Source organism: Homo sapiens, chromosome 10 (assembly GCF_000001405.40).
Source record: "Homo sapiens chromosome 10, GRCh38.p14 Primary Assembly".
Taxonomy (NCBI): Eukaryota; Metazoa; Chordata; class Mammalia; order Primates; family Hominidae; genus Homo; species Homo sapiens.
Window position 1 is genome coordinate 98,465,112 of NC_000010.11, and position 20,870 is coordinate 98,485,981.

Below are 20,870 nucleotides of genomic sequence, written 5' to 3' on the forward strand. Positions count from 1 at the left end.
TTTTCTTTTAATATTTATCTTGTTACCCAGCAGTCATATCATGCTAAATATAACAATAATCTTTCATTTAGATACATTGAACAGCTTGTAAGCTTGTAAACATAATCACATTAATGATAAAATTCACCAATTATGCAGCACTATTTATGCAAAAGGCACTATGCTATGATTTATTTTGACTATCTCATTTAGTCCTTACAACAATTGAGGCAGGTGTTAGCATTCCTGTATTACAGATGAGCAAATCAAAGTTTAGAGGGGTCTAAAACTCACCTAAGCCATACAGCCAATGAGTGGTAGAGCTGAGATTTGCACTGACGCCCTTAACCATAGCCCTATCTGGCCTCCCTTGTCACATGTGATTGCTAAAGAGCCCCAGGAGATACATAGGCCAGTATTACTATTATTGTAACTTTACTATGGGGACAAGGTTAGACAGGTTAAGTGGTCTGGGCAAGGTCATGTGGCTAATAAGTGGCTAAGCTAGGTCTCAAATTCTGGCTTCCTGACCACCTCTTTCTACTATTTCATGTTGTTTCTCCAATTCCAGCTGGTGTTCACCAGGATTATGTTTCTTTCTTTGAAAACCGTCCTTATCATATTTTCATCATATTCTGAGACCTCCTAAATGGCTCGTGACTTTTTAAATCAAATGCTGAATGATCCAGCCTAGGTTGAACTATTTCTCTTAATTCCCTAGCTTGCCTGAACTGCTGAGGGTATTTAAATTATCCAAATATTAGGACAACTGCATTTTATCACCATCTGTTTTTACAAAGTCTGAGTTATTTTCCAATCCCTACACTTGTTTTATTAATTTTGAATGTTATTTAAAATGGGATTCAAAGTGTCAGTTTGGAGTCAAGCCCTCTGCTCCCCAGGTCTCCATGGGAGCCCCTTGGCCTGGTCACTCCCCCGCTACCCTCCGCCCACCTGTCTACAGTCTCTGGTCTTCATGTCTTATCACTGTTCTCGATAGCCATGGATATTTAAGCAAGGTTTCAACTGTTCTGAGGTGTCAGGGAAGTAAGTCAGGGAGCATGTCCTTTTTAAAGCTTGAAGATAATTTTCTGGACTACAGTCTGGCAAGAGGGGATCTTTAGTGGGGAATTATGTGTTTTATCAGGAGCAGCCTTGGGAGCTGGTGTGTAGTTCAGGCTGGCATAGCATATTTTGGGGCCTTGAGTGGGAGGTGAAGGGACTTAAAGAAAATTGGTTCTGGCCAGGTGCGGTGGCTCACGCCTGTAATCCCAGCACTTTGGGAGGCCGAGGCAGGCGGATCACAAAGTCAGGAGTTCGAGACCAGCCTGGTCAACATGGTGAAACCCTGGCTCTACTAAAAATACAAAAATTAACGGGCGTGGTGGTAGGTGCCTGTAATCCCAGCTACTCAGGAGGCTGAGGCAGGAGAATCGCTTGAACTCGGGAGGTGGAGGTTGCAGTGAGCCGAGATTGCACCACTGCACTCCAGCATAGGTGACAGAGTGAGACTCCGTCTCAAAAAAAAAAAAAAAAAGAAAAGAAAATCAGTTCTGCCTCACCCACCTTCAGAACATTTGCCTTCTCTGAGACTAGTTTCTCCATCTGTAAGGTGAGGGGTGATAGATCAGATGAACCCTAAGATCCCTTCTGGCTTAACCGTTTTTCAGTTGGGTTGCCTATGACTAACAGCTAGCCTAAGGCAAAGTTTTATGCCAAGCCCAGAGTGATCCTGCATAAACAGAAATCTGACCATGATATTGACCTGTCTAAATATTCAGTGGCTTCCCGCTGATCTTAGAACATTGTCTGAAGTCCCCATGCACAGGCCCTATTATCTACTTCTCCAACCGCCAAGAGGCTCACTCTAGCTCCCGCCCCTTCCAGCTCCCTTCCACCCCCACCTCCTTTCATTCTTTACGGCCATTTATCTAATCGCGGCCTAAGCACAGGGGTTTTGCACACGGTTTCCTTCTACCCGGACCTTTCTCCATATGCCCTCCTCCTCCCTTCCAGCTTCCTTCTCCTGGCTAACTCTTACTTGTCCTTCAAGTCAGGGGTGCTCCCACAGGACCCAGTACTTCTTGGATCTCAGCTCCTGTCACACAGTATTGTGACCGCTGAGCTGACTGCTTGTCAGTCTCTCCACTAGATTGGAAGCCCATGTGTCTTACTCATCCGTCACTCTTCTGTCCGCCCACTCACACAGGAGGCGTCAATAAAAGACACATTGGATATAAACACGTGGGCAAAAGAACTACTACCTAGAAGGAAAGACTCTGGACAGGAAGGCCAGAAACCCGTTTTAGTCCAGGCTTGGGACATGAAATGTGCAGGTCTAGGTATGTGACCAGCCGCTTCTGGTCTCAGTTTCTGGATTGTTAAATGATGAGAGAGAGGGAGAGAGGGAAGGGGGAGAGAAAGGAGGAGGGGCAGGGGAGAGATAAGTCCGACTGTGTGTTTGTATGGGCCTGCGCTTGAGTTATCAGCTCCCTTTCCTCCAGTGTGCTTTCCTAGGGGCCACTAGAGGTCACTCTTGTCCTACACAATGGTGCCAGGACAGTCTGACTTCGGGGTGGCACCCAGGAAGCCGGAATGCGTCCGCCTGCCTCCAAATCCCGCACTCCAGTCTCAGGAAGGCCGGGAGATGTGCCCTGCGCTTGGCCTCCCGGAGGAACAAATCACAGAATCAATCAAATCCCAACCAGAACTTCGTTGCGGTCCCGTTGGCAAGGGTCCCACCTGGAATGTGGCCTAATATTAAGGAAACGTGCGAAACGGGACTGCAATTCCTGCAGGGGTGCCGGCTTCCCGGCCAGCGTGCAGAGAACGGGGGGTCCCAGGGCAGGTGCGGGGTCTGCGGCGCCCGCCACGACTCGGCGCTGGGCTCTCCCGGGCTCCGGGTCCCCGGCTGCCCCCGGCCGCCAGTCGGGTCGGCCCCGCACCTGTTTGTGCTTTGCAGGCTCCCGGCCCCCTCGCTGAGCGAGGAAGCTGGTATGTGCAGCTGCCCTGCCCTTCTCCAGGTCAGGGGCAGGTTAGAGTCCCGAGGAGGCCCAGTCAGGTTTGAGGACAGAGGGGCTTTGCTTCCCTTTCCTGCTCGGTGGGGAGACGGTGCATCTGGGGCAGCTTGAACAGGAAGTTCGTCTGAAATTGCCTTGAGTGATGGCTACCACGCTGAGGAAGGCTGCTCAGAAGTGGCCCCTGCAGGTGGTGTCGCCTGGTACCCCATGTCCGGCTGGAGGAAAGGCTCTAAGACCGTCATGACCCTCTCTGGGGTGCTCCCACTCCTCAGGAGTCACGGGGGCAATTACTTCAAGTGTGTCCTGAACTTTTCTTCTATGTGCTTTTTGCTCTACCTGGAATCCGGTGGAATCTCTCAAAAGCCTGTTCTTCCCTCCAGGCCCTGTCAGAGGTAGCCTCCTGCTTGGGACCTCACCTGATAACAAGCTGGGAGAGCGGCACATTATCTGCATCTCCCTTTTAGCGTCCCTCTCAGGCTTATTTTATCTGTGTGCTTGGGTCATTTTGTCTGCTACTGACTTTTCATTTCTCAATTTTCAATAGTATGCGGCTCAGTGCCTTTTTGTCCATGATAGCTGTTTAGTTAATACTTGTTGAGTTCTGCTCAATCAACTGCTCTAGGAGTCATGCCTGGCTGTATGTTCCAATCTCTTCCTCTACTGTTGTTAACAGAGAGGACTGTAAGGGATAGAGAGAGAAAATGGGGAAAATAGTATCCTGTTCCCTTGCCCTTCCAACAGCCCATACCCTATTTGGAGTTCCTTGTCCCTAAGACATTTTGAGGCTGAGAAGTTTATTTGCCCTCCATCCTACCCTCTGAGGGACACGCTGAAATGGTGAGCAGTTTTGATCTAGCTTCTGTATCACTGACCAGAGAAAATACCAGGACCCTTTATACAAGGAGAGCTGGGGGTTTTGTAGGCAAGTTGTTAGGGATATAGGCTTTTCCTGGATGTAGTGTGGTTTGGGGGTCAGGATTTGATCTGTATTCTATCCAAGTCTGTGTAATAGTGATCCAATCCATAATGGACTCTACCATGTGCTTCTAATGGCTTAAAATAATTTAGCACACTTGGCAGACAAGATGAGAGCCTGACTAAGGAACCTGGATTTATACTGATATTGTTAACTCCCAGCAGATGAGGGAATCATCTGGGGGAAGTTTGGAAAGAAAATCTGATCCTGCAGCCATCTCAAAGCTCCATGTCATAGGCATATCACACTCAAACCACAGGACACAATAGGAACCAGCTATAAAAACCATGGAGACTTCAGCATGTGGTTAACTATGTCCCCCTACCACTGTAAAGAATTGGTGCCATCATCATCAACATTTACAAGTAGTGTTTAAGGGGCATTATTCATAGTTCCATCGTTCTTTTCATTGTACCAATTAAATTACAATAGACTTACTCCTTGTCTTCTAAGAAAACACTGAAATATGCAAATGTCTGAGCAGACACACCATATAAAGATATTACACAAAGAGCAGGAAGGGAGGAAAATCAGACTTAGCCTGGATTTCAAGGCCTTCTGCAGTCTGGGCTTATTATGTGTTTGTGGCCTTTCCCTTTGCCCCACAAAGCATCCTGTATTCCAGTCACATGAGATGATTTGCCACCTCCCAAACAAAATGAGCCTTGAACTTCTGTACTTCCAAACCCTTAGTGATCTCATCCTGTTGCTGGAAGTTGCCTTTCCTACAGCCTTTCCTAGAAGTATGGCACATCCTTCCAGCTCCAGCTCCACGGCCTTCAGCCCTGAGACTTTTCAGATTCCCAAGTCAGAATTCATCTCTCTCTTTCTCATAATCCCATCTCCTATATTTACCCTTAGGTGGTCTGTTTTGTCTCTGAGTTACGGTAGCCTCTGTGGAGAGGGACCAGGTTTCCCCAGTCCTAATTGTGTGGAGCTGGAGGAGAGAATGTGGGGCTACAAAGCATCCCCTTTACAGCAGTCTACAGGTGGAGTGAAGACAGGTAGGAAGGCAGGTGTGTGTGTGTGTGTGTGTGTGTATGCACACATGTTAACACACGTTTTAAACATAACATGTTTAGTTATGTTTAACACACATGTTAAGGTGATAAATACCTGTTTTATTAACTTTTGACAAAGTATTCCCCATGACATCAGGTGTACTGGTATAATCTCAAAAGGGAAAAAAGATGTCTCAGGTGGTACAGGCTCTGTTCCAGATCCCACAGATATCCAAGTGCAAAGTGTGGGGTGACTCTGAATCATTGTTGCAAGGGTAAGCAGGGAAGGCTAGTCTGCACGGGTATTGCTGGTGTTTGGCAGTGGGTCCACAGTTTAATGCTCCAGGCCCCTTGTCTGGAATGAGCCCACATCCTGCCCTGGGCTTCCTGATGCTTAGCAGCCAAAGAAACACCAATTCAGGGCCCAGGCCCCACTATAGGGATAAGCTGGATTAGAACTTTCAGTTCCTTAAGGCTTACATTTCTTCATCACAGCCTCTGGAAGGTGCAGGGGAAGAAGAAGACGAGGGCCATTTCTTCTCAGTCAGCCAGAACTGCCCACATATTCTGCTGCTCTCTCACTTTAGAATCAACTGTTTAGAAATATGTTAGCTCTACCCTAACTTGCCCATTTACAGGTGTTTCGTCTAGGTCATCTGGGACAGAATGGAAATCCCTGCCTACAACGAGGGTCCCTAAGTGAGTGGAGGTGAAGAGGGGATACCACAGCCTTAATGGACAGCTACGCAGAGAGTTTCCAGCTGCTGGGAGTGAACTGGAGGAAAATATATTCTGGATCTGAGAACAAACAAAAAACTCTCGGAAAATAACAGTGAAAAGCCTAGATTCCTAAACATCTTGGTTTAAAATGTCAAGTCGCTGTAAAACATAAAAGCATTTCATAATCCTCTAATCGGCACAGTGATCTCCACATTAGTAATCTGGGAGTTAAAACAAAACAAACAATAAAACCTTTGAGAAGCCAGCACTCATCCTTCCACTCAGTCACAGAGAACTCCCAGGGGCTCATGGCATGTTCACACCTTTGGCAAAATGGCATAGCGCCTGAATGAAGAATCTAATCTGGGAAAAATCGAAGATACAAATCATCTGGGATCTTGTTCTAGAAGTTTATAGTGGGACAGTGGTTCTCAACCTTGACCACATATTTGAATCACCTGGGGAGCTTTAACAAATACTGGTGCCTTGGTCCCAACCCAAAGATTTTGGTTTAATTGGCTGGGGTGTGGCTTGGGCATTGGGGTTTCTAAAGCTCCCCAGGTAGTTGGAAGTGCAGCCAAGGTTGAACACCACGGGTAGAAGAAGGGGCGGGGATATGTTTGTAGCTGGGGGTGGAGGGGACTCAGATATCTTTCTAACTGTTACATTCTGAATTTATTTCGAATAAAAAGAGATTTTCTTACTTTTTGAGTGCCATGTCAGGAGGCTACATTTTTTTTTAACCTAAAAGGAAGATATGAACTTTCCAAAGACAAGTTTTTTGCTCCATAGACTGAAGGGAGCATTTTTGCTGTTTCACTGGAACTGCTTCGCTGGATGTCTTGCCCCCTCCCGCTTGTACCTTGGTGGGATGATTATGCTCCTCGGTGTGTACCAGGGATGTTCATGTGTAGCACTTTACAGGATGACTTAGGAAACAAATCAGATGAAGCATCAGCGCTGATAGCCAACTCTGTGTTTCTTGAACACTGAAAAGAACAACTTTTTTCTTTTCTTGAAAGTCAGTTTCTATAAAATCATTCAGATTTCTCTCAAGTTCTAGACTGTGTTGCAGAGAGCTCCTTATAGACAAAGAGTGGTTCAAATTCTCTTCAGGCAAGAGGAACTAAGGGAATGAAGAATGTGTCATTCAGTATCCTCACTGTTGTTTTCAGGTATGTATATACTTATTTATGTAGCTAACATTGGTTATAGCTACTATCTCTTAAATTAGCAGAAGGGCTAAAAGAATCCAAACTCCTCTGGGTTTCAATGAGTAAGCTTGCATTAACAAGATTTGTGAGGCTCATTTCTCTACATATTTACTTCTCTTTCTTTTTTTCTATATACTGCCTCAGAACCTTAAGTATAAGTATTTTTATAAATATATATATATACTCTTACATATATATTTATATTTCCGCTTTTTACAGTGTCTATTTCGGCCTTTCTGAACTGGGGCACTAACCTGAATGCTAGTGTTTAGAGTAAGTACCACTTTCCTGTTAACTCACAGCCAGCTCGTAAATCTCCCTGATCCCAGGCACTTTCTTGCCATTCGGTGCTCTCAGCCTCTGCAGCTTGTCTTTCCTGCTGAGGGGCTCTGAATGGCCTTTCAAAAGGGCTGCAGCTGATGTGGTTGATCTGCACCAGGGGGGCCTTTTGCTCCAGGTCAAAGATGTCTGATTCTAAGTCTTGCTTTGTAAAAAATTATCCTATTTTTTCCTGATATTTTAACATCTGAAGCCCTGCAGGGGTTAACAGCTTTCCTCACATGGTCTTAGCCTGAACGTTATAGGCACTGAGGCTCCTTACCTTTCACCATGCATCAAAACAGATTCCGAGTGAATCAAAGAAATGAATACAAGTGAAACAAAAAAGAATCTGGAAGAAAATAAAGATGCATATTGATCTGATTTCAAGAATGTAAATTCATACACATATAAGTAGAATGGAAGAAAGGTAAACATATTTAACTATATAAAAGGGAATATTTCTGTATGTCAAGATAATACTCTAATAGTTAGAAAAATAGCAAATAAAATACTAGAGAAAATATTTCAATACATAGATAGCAATGGAGGAAATTGCCTTATACCTGTATTAGAGCAAACTTAATAAAACAGACTAATACCCCAACAGAAAAATAGCAAAGGACATAGAAAATTCATAAAAGCAATACAATACTAACATATGAAAAATCTTCAGGCTCATTAATGCTCAAAGAATAGAAATTAACATAAGAATACTTTTTTTATTATGGAGTTGGCAAAGATGTAAAAAATGTTACTATATTGTGTTAGTGAGGTGAATTGTAATAACAAAATGTTCATATTTCCTCCTCCATCTCAGACCTCTTCAACTAAGTTTGGATGAGGTAAGAAAATTGAAAGGTGGTCAGGCGCGGTGGCTCATGTCTATAGTCCTAGCACTCTGGGAGGCCGAGATGGGTGGATCACCTGAGGTCAGGAGTTTGAGACCAGCCTGACCAACATGGTGAAACCCCGTCTCTACTAAAAATACAAAAATTAGCCAGTTTTGGTGACACGCACCTGTAGTCCCAGCTACTCAGGAGGCTGAGGCAGGAGAATCCCTTGAACCAGGGAGGTGGAGGTTGCAGTGAGCCGAGATTGCACCACTGCGCTCCAGCCTGGGTGACAGAGTGAGACTCTGTCTCAAAAAAAAAAAAAAAAAAAAGAAGGCAGAAAAAGAGAAAGAGAGAGAGAGAAAGAAAGAAAGAGAGGAAGAGAAAATTGAAAGGTTAATCCTGTGAGATAAAATTCTAAAACTCAGTGGATTCTAAGGTGAGCAATCTGAACACCAGGTCATTTGAGGAATGGTTGAAGGATCTGAGAGTGTTTAGCTTGGAGACTAGAGCTTTTAGGGTAGATATATAGAAAAATTGATAAAGAAGAAGATATAGATTTTCTCTTCTTACTTTTTCCAAAGCAAGAGTAGAAAGGGCAAGAAAACACCTTTGGCCTAATACATGGAGGCTCTTTCCTACAATCAGAGCTGTCTAGTCCTAGCATGAGCCAATTCCTGAGACGAGCCATCCCATCAAACAGAAACTGAAAAGCTTTTTGTCGGGGATGTTATAGAAGAAACCTCTTGACCCGTATGAGTTCTTTGAAATTTTACCTTTATAAAGTCATCTTTTACTAACTATAGAACTTTCATAGAATGGTTTATTTTTGAAAGAAACTAATTTAAATGATCCCAGACAAGTGAAGATAATGGAAACCTGCAGGGAGTACATCTGGTTGACCAGAGTTCAAAAAATGTAGGTACCAAATAATATCAGCAGTGTAGAACTAAAATACTTAGATGTCTTGAGTCTGCTGGGATAAATGGACAAATGGCCTACTGGTCCCAGAAACAAGTCTTCATATTTTGTTTTTGAGTGTCTGAGTCGTGGTATTGAATTAATGGGGTTAAGGTTTTTCCCAAAGCTTCTTTTACCTGATCTCTCTGTGTCCAGAAACTAAACATGGTGCTTTCAGGTATCATTAGTGAGAGATTGTGGCGGGTCAGGTGGGTGGCCAGTTCACCCCTCAGGATTTTTCACATTAGCCAAGCTCTGAATCCAGAGATGAAATATCATAATATGGTCTGGTCTGTTCCAACAGGGACACGAAGATATTTTTAAAGTCTTAGCACCTGGGAGTTACTTGAGTATTTTCAGAACCATTCTGTTTGGTTAACATCAAATGACACCTCTCTAAAGGCATGCAGTTAGATGCCAATGTTTTTCTTTGATATAGGTTTTAATGAGGGTGAAATGAAAGCAAAAGTTATATCCCAGAGAGATGGAAAAAATGAGCAGTATGTGGAAAAAGGAAAAAAAAAGATGTGCATTTCTTCACAGAATAGGCAATAAGATTTTTGGTTCATAGGAGCCTTGAGATTTTTTTCAGCTAAAGGAGAGGCTCATGCAGATCTGAAATTTAAACATTAATATGGAACCTATTAGCCCCAAAGCAGAAATACTTTACATGTCTATTTATGGCACCACCCACAGGCTGCTTCCTGTTAGTTGTTTGTTTCTAGTGACAGAGATGAGCTCCTTTAGGAGATTCTTCTGAGCTCCTTTAGGAGATTCTGAGATTCATCTCAGAATCCCCTCCCCAACAACCCCAAAACACCCCACATTAAATAGCTCTTGAAAGCCAGGTGAGGATATGGCCTAGCAATAGAAAGATCAAGGGACATTCTGATCCGAAACATTCACATTGAACTTTACATTCAGAATTTCCCCCTAATTTGTCTACTTGGAACTCTTGAGCCCTTACAGTTATGGGACCACAATTCTATTTTTTTTTTTTTTTGAGACGGAGTCTCGCTCTGTCGCCCAGGCTGAAGTGCAGTGGCACGGTCTCAGCTCACTGCAACCTCCGCCTCCTGGGTTCATGCCATTCTCCTGCCTCATCCTCCCGAGTAGCTGGAACTACAGGCACCCGCCACCATGCCCGGCTAATTTTTTTTTGTATTTTTAGTACAGACGGGGTTTCACCATGTTAGCCAGGATGGTCTTGATCTCCTGACCTTGTGACCCCCCGCCTCGGCCTCCCAAAATGCTGGGATTACAGGCGTGAGCCACCGTGCCCAGCCCGGGACCATAATTCTTTTAAAATTTTAGTTAGTCATTGCAAATTAGATCACTGAAGAAGAAGAAGTTATGTCTGACACAAAGTAGGATCAATAGAACTGGTGAATGGATGAAGAGATATACTTTCCAGTTTCCTTGGGAAGCCTCCCTTGTTGGCATCTTTCCCTCTGAGAATGGGCTCCGTTAGGTGTGAGGGAGTTGAAGGTGCCTGTGTATATGGGGCGGGAATATAACCTATTGATATAGATTTTTATATACCTCAAATTAAACAAATCTAGAGTCATTGCTGGTTTTTAATAATCCCTTTGAGAAGAGCATAATAAAAACAGAAGGGAATTCCCCACTTCTTCTGGAAAAAAAAATGTGCTTTTACTAGAATTCTGTGATTGGGAGACAGTCTTAGAAGTAGCTCAGAGAAGAACTTTTAAAAGGGTCTGAGCACTTTTACACTGTTGGTGGGACTGTAAACTAGTTCAACCATTGTGGAAGTCAGTGTGGCGATTCCTCAGGGATCTAGAACTAGAAATACCATTTGACCCAGCCATCCCATTACTGGGTATATATCCAAAGGACTATAAATCATGCTGCTATAAAGACACATGCACACGTATGTTTATTGCGGCACTATTCACAATAGCAAAGACTTGGAACCAACCCAAGTGTCCAACAATGATAGACTGGATTAAGAAAATGTGGCACATATACACCATGGAATACTATGCAGCCATAAAAAATGATGAGTTCATGTCCTTTGTAGGGACATGGATGAAATTGGAAATCATCATTCTCAGTAAACTAACACAAGGACAAAAAACCAAACACTGCATGTTCTCACTCATAGATGGGAATTGAACAATGAGAACACATGGACACAGGAAGGGGAACATCACACTCTGGGGACTGTTGTGGGGTGGGGGGAGGGGAGGGATAGCATTAGGAGATATACCTAATGCTAAATGACGAGTTAATGGGTGCAGCACACCAGCATGGCACATATATACATATGTAACTAACCTGCACATTGTGCACATGTACCCTAAAACTTAAAGTATAATAATAATAAAAAAGAAAAAGAAAAAAAAAAGGGTCTGAGGCCAGGCATGGTGGCTCATGCTTGTAATCCAGCACTTTGGGAGGCTGCGGCAGGTGGATCACCTGAGGTCAGGAGTTTGAGACCAGCCTGGCCAACATGGTGGAACCTCATCTTTACTAAAAATACTAAAACTAGCTGGGCGTGGTGGTGCATGCCTGTAGTCCCAACTGCTCGGGAGGTTGAGATGGGAGAATAGCTTGAACCTGGGGGGCAGAGGTTGCAGTGAGCTGAGATCACACCACTGCACTCCAGCCTGGGTGACAGGGTGGGAGTCTGTCTAAAAAAAAAGGGGCGGGACGGTCTGAATTCTGGACTTGTGAAGAAAAGTTAATGAAACTGGTGTGAATTAGCCTGAAGGAGAAAACTTCTGGGTAACCTAATACTCTTCAAATATATTCATTCTGTAAGGAGCCTATGATGAAATGAACCCAGACAATATCATGACAGAGTCCAGTTATCCATATGTATATCCATCTTATGTAATTGTAATTTTATAGTACTGGACTGTTGTTGTAGCACATTGTTGAAAAAAGTGCACTAGAGTAAGGGTCAGGGGAACTGGATCCTAGGGACTTCTAGCTTTGTCACTTACTAGTTGTGTGACACTTGAATAAGTCACTTAATACTTTAAGACTCAGTGTCTTCAACTCTAAAATGGAAGGGAGGCAGGAATTATTCTATATGCTTCATGGTTCTGTCAGAAGGTTAAATGAGATAATGGCTATTAAAGTTTTTCATTATCTATAAAGTTGCAGCCATAGGTACAGTGGGCCCCAGTGTTCTTATACAATTAAGTGTTCAGACAGGATTGAAATTGTGGTCACTCTTTTCTGAGAGGGCTTTAAATGTGGGGCATCCTCTGGTCCAGATGGCTTGGCCACAGACTGAAGGCTGGGGGAGAGAGCCAGATCACCTCCCAGTGTCACTCCACCTCAGGATTCTTAGCATCCGCTTGTTCCCTCAGGTCAATGTGTCAGAACAGAACAGCCAATGTGATGAAAGTTGCTTCCCTCTTTCCTAATTTTTGGAGTATTTTCCCTCCAAATGGAATTGAACAAGGCACATAAGGGAGAACACTGGGATCTGATCTAACACCTGTTTTTGGTTTGCTTTTTCTCTGGAAAGGTAAGTCCTTTCGATTTTAGATGTCAGTTGGCTTGTGAGGCCGAACTTCATGTTGCTTCTGTTTGTTGAGAGACACTGGAGATATTTATCAGGTACAAATGATTCCCTAGAGCAGGGCTCCCTAACCCCTGGGCCATGGACCAATCCTGTTAGGAACTGGGCTGCACAGTAAAAGGTGAGTGGTGGGTGAGCATTACCACCTGAGCTCCACCTCCTGTCAGACCAGCAGCATCATCAGATTCTCATAGAAGTGTGAACCCTATTGTGAACTGCACATGCAAGGGATCTAGGTTGCACACTCCTTATGAGAATCTAATGCCTAATGATCTGAGGTGGAACAGTTTCATTCCCAAACCACCCCCAAGCCCCCAACAGTCTGTGGAAAAACTGTCTTCCATGAAACCAGTCCCTGGTGCTAAAACAGTTGGGGACCACTGCCCTAGAGGACAGTGGCTATTGCTTTGTGATCACACAAGGCAATGGGTAGATTCTGTATTTTGCAGATGCCCCCAAAATCTCCTCTGACTTATCCAGAATGGGAACCATTGTTCTGGATGTGAATGGGGCCATCTTCTTCTGAGAAAGGTGAGAAACCAGGGAACATGACAAGGGAGGGACCCACAGCTGGATTTTTTCTGGAAAACAAAACTAGCCAGCTACTGCCACCACTTCCTCTAGTCATAGAGCCTCTTTGTGTGGCCTCTTAGTGGCTTGACTTTGCTGATGACCACTGAGAACACAGGCTCCAAAAGTGAAGAGGAAACAGGGGGAATGGGGACCAGAAGAGAATAGAATTTCAGAGCTCAAAGGGAAGCTATAATCTCTTGTCCAACCCCCGACTGAGGAAGGAATCCTAGAGCACCTCTGAGATGGCTGCTCACACTCTGATTAATAGGCTACCTCCTGAGAAAGCCTATCCTGACCTCGGTCAGACCAGGCAAGCCTTTGGAAAACGAGCTCATTTTGAAGTGAAATCTATCTCTTTTAAATTGCACTCCTTGGTTTTCTGTCATTTTGGAGTATTCTAGGCCAAATCTGTTTAATTTCACTTGGCAGTCCTCTGAAGAAAGTCCTCATGACTTACCTTACTTTTCTCCTCTGAACTAAATTTCCCCATTTCCTTCAGCTATTCCCTGAAGAATATGTATTCCAGATGCAGAATACTCTTGTTTGTACACACTGCAATTTTCTAAAACTTCTGTCCTATGGGCTAGAGAGCACCTACTTTTTGTCTGGTTCCTAGAATAAGAACAGTCTCTTATATAAGGAGTTGGGACTGGAGTAGGGGGGTCTTACGATTGGTTCATTCACTGAGATGGGAAACAAGAACCTTCTTGTGAATGTGGTTGCCTAGACCATACATAAATAGTGACCCCAAGGGTGCTTCCTGTGTGATACTTGACATACCTTAGCTCTGAGTTCACACAGAGTTGCCCTTTCAGAGATTTCAAATCTTCCCAGGCCCAGTGGCAATTCTAAGAGAATGAGAATTACCCCATGTCCTCGAGCAATCAAAGAAGTCTTCTGGCCTCTCCCTACTCCTGAAACACTAGACCAGAATACCCAACTGGTGGCTTGAATTGGGGCGGGGGGCACTGACTTGCTCTATATCCTCTTCCTGGTTCCTCCAGACAGGAGCAGTTACACATTCTTCTGCTCCCAGAACTTTCTATCCCCTTCTGAGCTAATATGGCTTCAAGCTGTAGCAAGAACTAGCAGACACAGAACACAGAGTCTGGCCCCAGAGGCTTATAAAAGAGAGAAAGAGACACCAAAGGCTGAAATCACTTCCTAGCATTTTCTTTCATCCCTTTCTGCACAGTCTGCTTCACTGAAACCACACCCTTCCTGTGAGACCCCCATCGCAGACCACTCAGCTCTTTAGTAGTTGCTGAGCAGAGCACTAGATGTGGTCTTGAACATGTACATGACAGTTCCTGTCTGGCAGCTTACAGTCCACCATGGCACAGCCCAGGATCGAGCCAATGAGGTCTAGAATAGGAGAGGTGTTAAACTGGCAGTAATTTATAGGCAGAACAGACTCAGAAGAATGAAGGGCCCAACATTTCACAGTGAATTAGTGGCAGGATCAGGGGCTGGAATCCAGTTCCCTTGAATTCCAATCCAAAACTCTCTAATCCAACATATGTAAAATCGTTATGTGTGTATCTGTATTTATATTTATAGATGTATGCATATGCATGGGTTTGTGGAAGGCTTTATTTCAACCATATTTTCCAAATTGAGTCTCATAATAATCCCATTTGACAGTGAAGGAAGCTCAGGTTTGATCACAAAGATAAATGGTAGCATCTGAATTCAGATCCTCACCTTCTAATTCCAGTTCCAATGTTCTTCCAATTACCTGACATTATTATTTGAGCTCAGTGGGTGTTACTAAATCCTTCTTAAGGATCCCTGTAGAATGAAATTCTCTTTGTCCTTGTCCCTCTCCTACATTTTTTTTTTTTTGAGGCAGAGTCTTGCTCTGTTGCCCAGGCTGGAGTGCAGTGGTGTGATCTCAGCTCACTGCAACCTCTGCCTCCCAGTGATTCTCCTGCCTCGGGCTCCCAAGTAGCTGGAATTACAGGTGCTCACCACCACACCTGGCTAATTTTTGTATTTTTTTTGTACAGAAGGGGTTTCACCATGTTGGCCAGGCTCATCTCGAACTCCTGACCTCAAGTAATCCCCCCGCCTCAGCCTCCCAAAGTGTTGGGATTACAGATGTGAGCCACTGTGCCTGGCTGGTTTCCTACATTCTTAACAAAGTTGTAACACAACTCCTCACTATTATGGTGATGGCAAAAGTTGAACATATGACATATCGCTAGCTAGTGGGAGTCAGTCCCTTTAGTCACCCTTAAGGATAGGTATAGAAAGACAGGGGTTAAGGTATGGCCAGCTCCAAACAGCAGGGGAATCATCTTGGAGGCAGGGACGTAGGGGTGGGGTAAATAGGTTTAGAGTCCTGCCTGCATCCTTGGTTGGAGGGAAAATAAGCTCATTAAAAAATGCTACCCTTGACTATCATCTTCTGTTTCATCCTTTTGCTTTTTTGTAATTCTTAGCATGACTTTTTATCATAATCCTAACAAATGTTTTGTCAACACATTATCTTAAAAGTCTGAAAACATTCCTCTTTGGAAGAACATTCTTAGGGAAAGCAATTGTATCCTTCCTCTTTCTCAACCAGCCAGATTTCTGAGTTGAGGAAAAGGAAGGCAATGGATATTTATTGAGCATTTACTATATGTCAGGAACTTTACACAGATTACCTCATTTACTTCGCTCCACAAAAGAGGTTTCACAGACGAGGAAACTGACGCTCACAGAGATGACATAACTTGCCTAAAGACACACAGCCAGCAAGTAACAGAGCAGGGATGGACACCTTGGCTTGTTAGACTAAAGCATTTGGCCAGTCCCCTCCACACAGTGCACACAGTCTTCCTGACACTGGGCAGGCTCAGCTCCTAAGCTCTTCGGTTCCAGAGGACCCTAACCAGAGGACCCTAATCACTGCTGCAGAGTCAGCCCTTCTGTCAGAAATGGCTTTGCAGATCATTATTTAATGGCAGCAGGAGATTTAAATGCACTCATGATCCTCAGAAAATCACACCCAGGATGAGAGTTTTCAAGCTGCACAGGACCTTACCACATGTACAACAACCCTTGAAATCTGAAGATTAGGAAACTGAGGCCAAAGGATTAGGATAAAATAATTTTCCCAGGTCATATGATTATTTAGTGGTAAAGCAGGGACCAGAACCAGGTCTCCTGCCTAGGATGAAGGCCAGGAATTCAGCACACTCATCATGAACTACTCAGAAGTGAAGAGAAAGGGGATAAAATACTCAATAGAGTCCTGCTGACATAGGTAGGACCGGGAAGAAAGAAAAACAGACGCAATGTACATGTAGCCAGAAAAAAGAGCCAGCATGTGAACCGAGACTGAAAATGAAGATCTAGCGTGGGCTAAATAAGTCACTCAATAAGTGACTTCCCAGATTGTTTTTTGCTCCCATTGCAAATACAATTGGAAGCCAAATGCAAGCCACCAAGGTTGCAGTGAAACAGTGAATAATTATAGCACAAATATTTGTGGGCAGCTGTTGGAGTGCAAGCCACCTGCTCCAAGTTTACAGCTTTGTTAAACTTGGTAAACATTAAAAATGGAATAGGAATGCCTCCAGTCTGTGCAGCATCCCATACCCTTCCTGAGAGGCCTCACTCGGGGAGCTGGGGTGGCCTTGCCCTTGACCAGGCCCTTCTCACTGTGGCCTAGAGTTGTTTTGTTTGTAGAGATCCATGTTGTCAAGTCTCTAATAGAGACTGAGGGAGGCAGGGAGTGTCACAGAATCGTTTATTTGTAGAGTTTTGAAAGGGTCACAGAGCCCTCAAAATATAATCTCTGTCCTATTATTCAGATGAAGAAGCTGAGATGGAGCAGTGATGTGCTCAAGTCATAAAGTTAGGGGCAGGACAGACTCTTTATCTCTGACCTTTTGAGCACTAAACTCTTTGTTTAGTGCTCCTTCCTGTAAGCCCTGTGAGGTTAATAGATGGTAACAACAAGGGAGTCAGCATTACAGAATGTTACAGCTGTGAGGGACATGGTTCTCAACTACCAGGATGTTTGGTTGCTACATGACCATGGGGCACTATTGGCATTTGGTGAGCAGCGGCCAAGGATGCTAAACAGCTTACAATGTGATAGTTGTGTATAACGAAGAATCATCTGGCTCAAATACCAAGAGTATCCTTGTTGAGAAATACTTTCTCCACCATTTGACTTTACAACTGGGGAATCTAAGATAGGGAGGGGCTTGAACATGTTCCCAAAAGGAGTCAGCAGTCACCTGACCCCAGACCGCTCTTTGTCCTACTCCATCCCACTGAGCCCTTGAGAGAATTAGCAGCAACCTTGGTGTCTTCAGCCTCCCCCTCCCTCAGCTCCTGCTGCACTTGCTCCCGAGCTATTTTCAGGTTGGCACGTACTTGGACTTTAGGCCCTCCTGCCCATAGGGCTGCAGCAGGTACTGGTGAACCAGCTTGTCTCTGAGAGTCCCAGCCAGCTTGATTTTCTTTCTTGATCGATGCAAGTTGATGATAAAAAGTGTAATGGACCCACGAACGTAGTTGTGGCTGAGATCCAGAGAAAGAGAGAAGTGAAAGATGGAAACAAAGTGGTCAGTTAGATGCTTCTAAATAATTTATAGACTGTACAAAATATGAACAGCCCTGAAAATGGCACTTAAAAACTTGGCCACCATAGACCCTAAAAGAAAGGAAGGCCTTGTTATTGTGGTTTCTTGCAAAGATGATAGCCACTTCCTGCCATACTTCTTTTGTTTTTGTTTAAATTTATTGCAATGATTTTAGAAAATATAATGTATATATTTTATGGCATATATTACCATAGTATGGAAGTAAAACATGCTGATTGCAAAAAAGGAAAAATATTGAGAAACAAAAAGAAGAAAAAGAAAATTCCCCATAACCCTCATATCTTGAGATATGATAATATTTTGGCAAACATCCTTCCAGTATTTTTTAGTTTATTAATTTGACAAATATTTATTGAGTACTTTGACACATTATTACTCAGTTTTTACATAACTGGAATCACATTATTCACAGAGATTTTTTTCCATTAATGAACATCTTAAACATATTCCCATGTGATTCTTTTTCTACTTGTAGAAGAATGCTAAACTTTTCAATCATAGAAGTGTAACATTACTTAACTAATCCCCTATGTTTGCAGTTCAGACAACTCATGTTTGAACATTTTTGCCATTATAAATTATGTCATGTGTATAAACTTTTTGATTATTTCTGATGGATAAAGTCCTAGACGTTGGAATCATTAGTCCAAGGGAAACGTGTGTTGTATGATTCCTCACCAAATTTTCCAGTTCATTCCCAGTGGTGCACCTCCCTGTGGGAAGATTTTTTCTTCCTGCCCTACTAAGTGATCGCGTGATTTGCTTTGTCCAATGAAATGTGAGTGGACATGGCAAAAACCTCTAGGCAGAAGCTTTAGGACTCAGCCCATCTTTTGCCATGTTTCATTTCCCTCTGCCAGAAGACTGACAATGTTCTTGACAAAGGCTGTTCTATTGAATGAAGATGATGTGGGCAGAGGTACAGTTGAGCCATGATGGACAAGTAGTGTGAATGAGAAATAAATTTTCTTATTGAAAGCCTTGGAGATTTGGGGGCTATTCATTATTGCAGCATAACCTCACCTATCCTGACAGATACACACTTTTTGATGCCATTGATATTAACTCTCTAGGAAGCTTTCACTAATTTTGCTCCCACCTGCTCTATATGAGAGCACCTATTTCCTCATACCCCTAAGAACACTTCCAATGTGTTCTTTTAAAATACCTTTGTCAACCTGAGAGGTGAAAATGGGATTTCAATGTTGTATTAATTTGTATTTTTAAAAATTAATACTGACATGCAGCATTTTTTCATTTGCCATTTCATTTCTTCTTTTGTAAGCTGACCATGTCCTTTGCCTGCCTGCCTTCCTTTCTTCCTTCCTTCCTTCCTTCTTTTTCTGTCCTTCCTTCCTTCCTTTTTTCTTTCCTTTCTTCCTTCCTTCCTTTCTTTCTTTTTTTCTCTGTCGCCCAGGCTGGAGTGCAGTGGCACGATCTGGGCTCACTGCAACCTCCGCCTCCTGCGTTCAGGCAATTCTCCTGCCTCAGCCTCCCTGGTAGCTGAGATTACAGGCGTGCGCCACCACGCCCAGCTAATTTTTGTATTTTTAGTAGAGATGGGGTTTCACCATGTTGGCCAGGCTGGTCTTGAACTCCTGACCTCAAGTGATCACCCGCCTTGGCCTCCCAAAGGGCTGGGATTACAGGCGTTAGACACCATGCCCGGACACCTTTGCCTATTTTTCTGTTGATTTATAAAAACTATTTATTAAAGAGCAGTCTTTTGTCTGCAAAATTTCCCCCAGTTTTCTTTGACCGTTTCAGTTTATTTACATTGTATTTTAATATATAAAAGTTAAAAAACTTTTATGTAGTCAAATTTATCTTTTTGATTTCTTCTTTTGCTGTTTTACCTACCTCAAGATTATAAAACTATTCACCATTTTGGAATCTTTTTAAATGAGCATAAGATCTTCAGAAGTCTGAGAGAACTATATGCCTACATGCACTAGCCCTTCAGCATGTATCAGCAAAACTATAATGATTTCCTTCTCTCTGTAGGAAAAAATGCTTAGTTTCTAAGGGGTCCCTTAGGGCCCCATCTGGATAGGTTAATGAGAGGAAACAGAAAAAAATGACCCAGCCCCACCTTCAAAGGAGGAGTTCAGAGAAACTCTAAGTCAACTTTGCCCAGAGGAAAGCATCATTCCTTATAGAAATAACACCCCTCCATCCTGGGTCACTCACCTCTGCTTCTAAAGGTGCTAATTAAGAGTTGAGTGACCAAGGACAGGTCAGTATGGTGACATGGAGTTTTTTATTTTTGTTTTTGTTTAGAAGCACAGTTTCCAGGGCTCTTCCGTGGAGATTTTGATGCAATCTATTTGGGATTAGGGACTGGGAATCTATACTTAAAAAAATCTTTCTGGGATATTTGGCAGATGAATTGGGTTTGGGAACCACTTGCTTAGAACAATCCATTAAGATTATGAGAAGAACTACTGAAGTATATCCTGCTGGCTGTGCGTCAGAAGATTTTTTTTGCATCTGCAGGAGGGTACATTATTGTGTTCAAGGCTTTTGGATGCCTGCATTTGTGTTCTGATAAATTATTAAAACGACTCTTTCATCCAGTTCCTCCTCCTCCGGTCCTTCTTAATCTCCTGCAACATGTGAACTAGCTTTTGTAGCTAAATGAGTTAGGTCAGAAGAGAATGCCAGTTGATTTAAGCAGACTTATGTCCCCAGAACTCTGAAGAAGGATGCTGGCAGCCTGAATCAGTGTTGACCATCATTAAAGAAGAACATCGACTCTATCCCATTGGTGGGGTTTCAGCTTAGCTTAGCTATCTGTAAAACTGAGGAAGACACCATTAATTGCAGGATCTCTAGGCTTCAGAGTGGGAGCAAAATACATGTGGATGGGTATCAATTTTGCCAGACTGCAGTAAATTCTTTTGCTAGCTACCATCAAACAACACTCTCAAAGGCCAGCAGTGGAGGAGGAGAGAGCCACATGCTTGCATTTATGAGTTTCTCCTCTGCAGAGCTGGGGCAGAATGAGCCCTTGGAGACTGCAGAAGAGAAGGTGGGATGTGGGGAAGTGGTGGGTGGGAGGGAGACCTGAAATCACAGCACTGCTGCAGGGAAAGCTGTCTTTTTCAAGCTGTTTG

At 43.5% G+C, this 20,870-nt stretch overlaps 1 protein-coding gene across 12 annotated transcripts in view, besides 2 other annotated features; it reads right to left on the reverse strand.

The window, feature by feature from the left end:
• Positions 1–20,870, reverse strand: part of HPSE2 (heparanase 2 (inactive)) — an 858,875-nt gene that overhangs the window by 8,035 nt on the left and 829,970 nt on the right. For 11 of the 12 annotated variants that reach the window (XM_047425614.1, NM_001166245.1, XM_011540030.2 and 8 more), the window contains one exon: positions 17,525–17,671. The exons of the other annotated variant lie outside the window; for it this stretch is intronic. In XM_047425614.1, the coding sequence (XP_047281570.1) occupies positions 17,525–17,671 (147 nt within the window). The remainder of the gene's footprint in view (positions 1–17,524; positions 17,672–20,870) is intronic. 12 annotated transcript variants of the gene reach the window in all.
• Positions 2,736–2,785: a silencer, noted in NCBI's record as "silent region_2689". NCBI's record gives its function as "represses an Ori minimal core promoter by ATAC-STARR-seq in GM12878 lymphoblastoid cells {active_cell/tissue: GM12878}" and the evidence as "EXISTENCE:reporter gene assay evidence [ECO:0000049][PMID:35858748]".
• Positions 2,836–2,935: a silencer, noted in NCBI's record as "silent region_2690". NCBI's record gives its function as "represses an Ori minimal core promoter by ATAC-STARR-seq in GM12878 lymphoblastoid cells {active_cell/tissue: GM12878}" and the evidence as "EXISTENCE:reporter gene assay evidence [ECO:0000049][PMID:35858748]".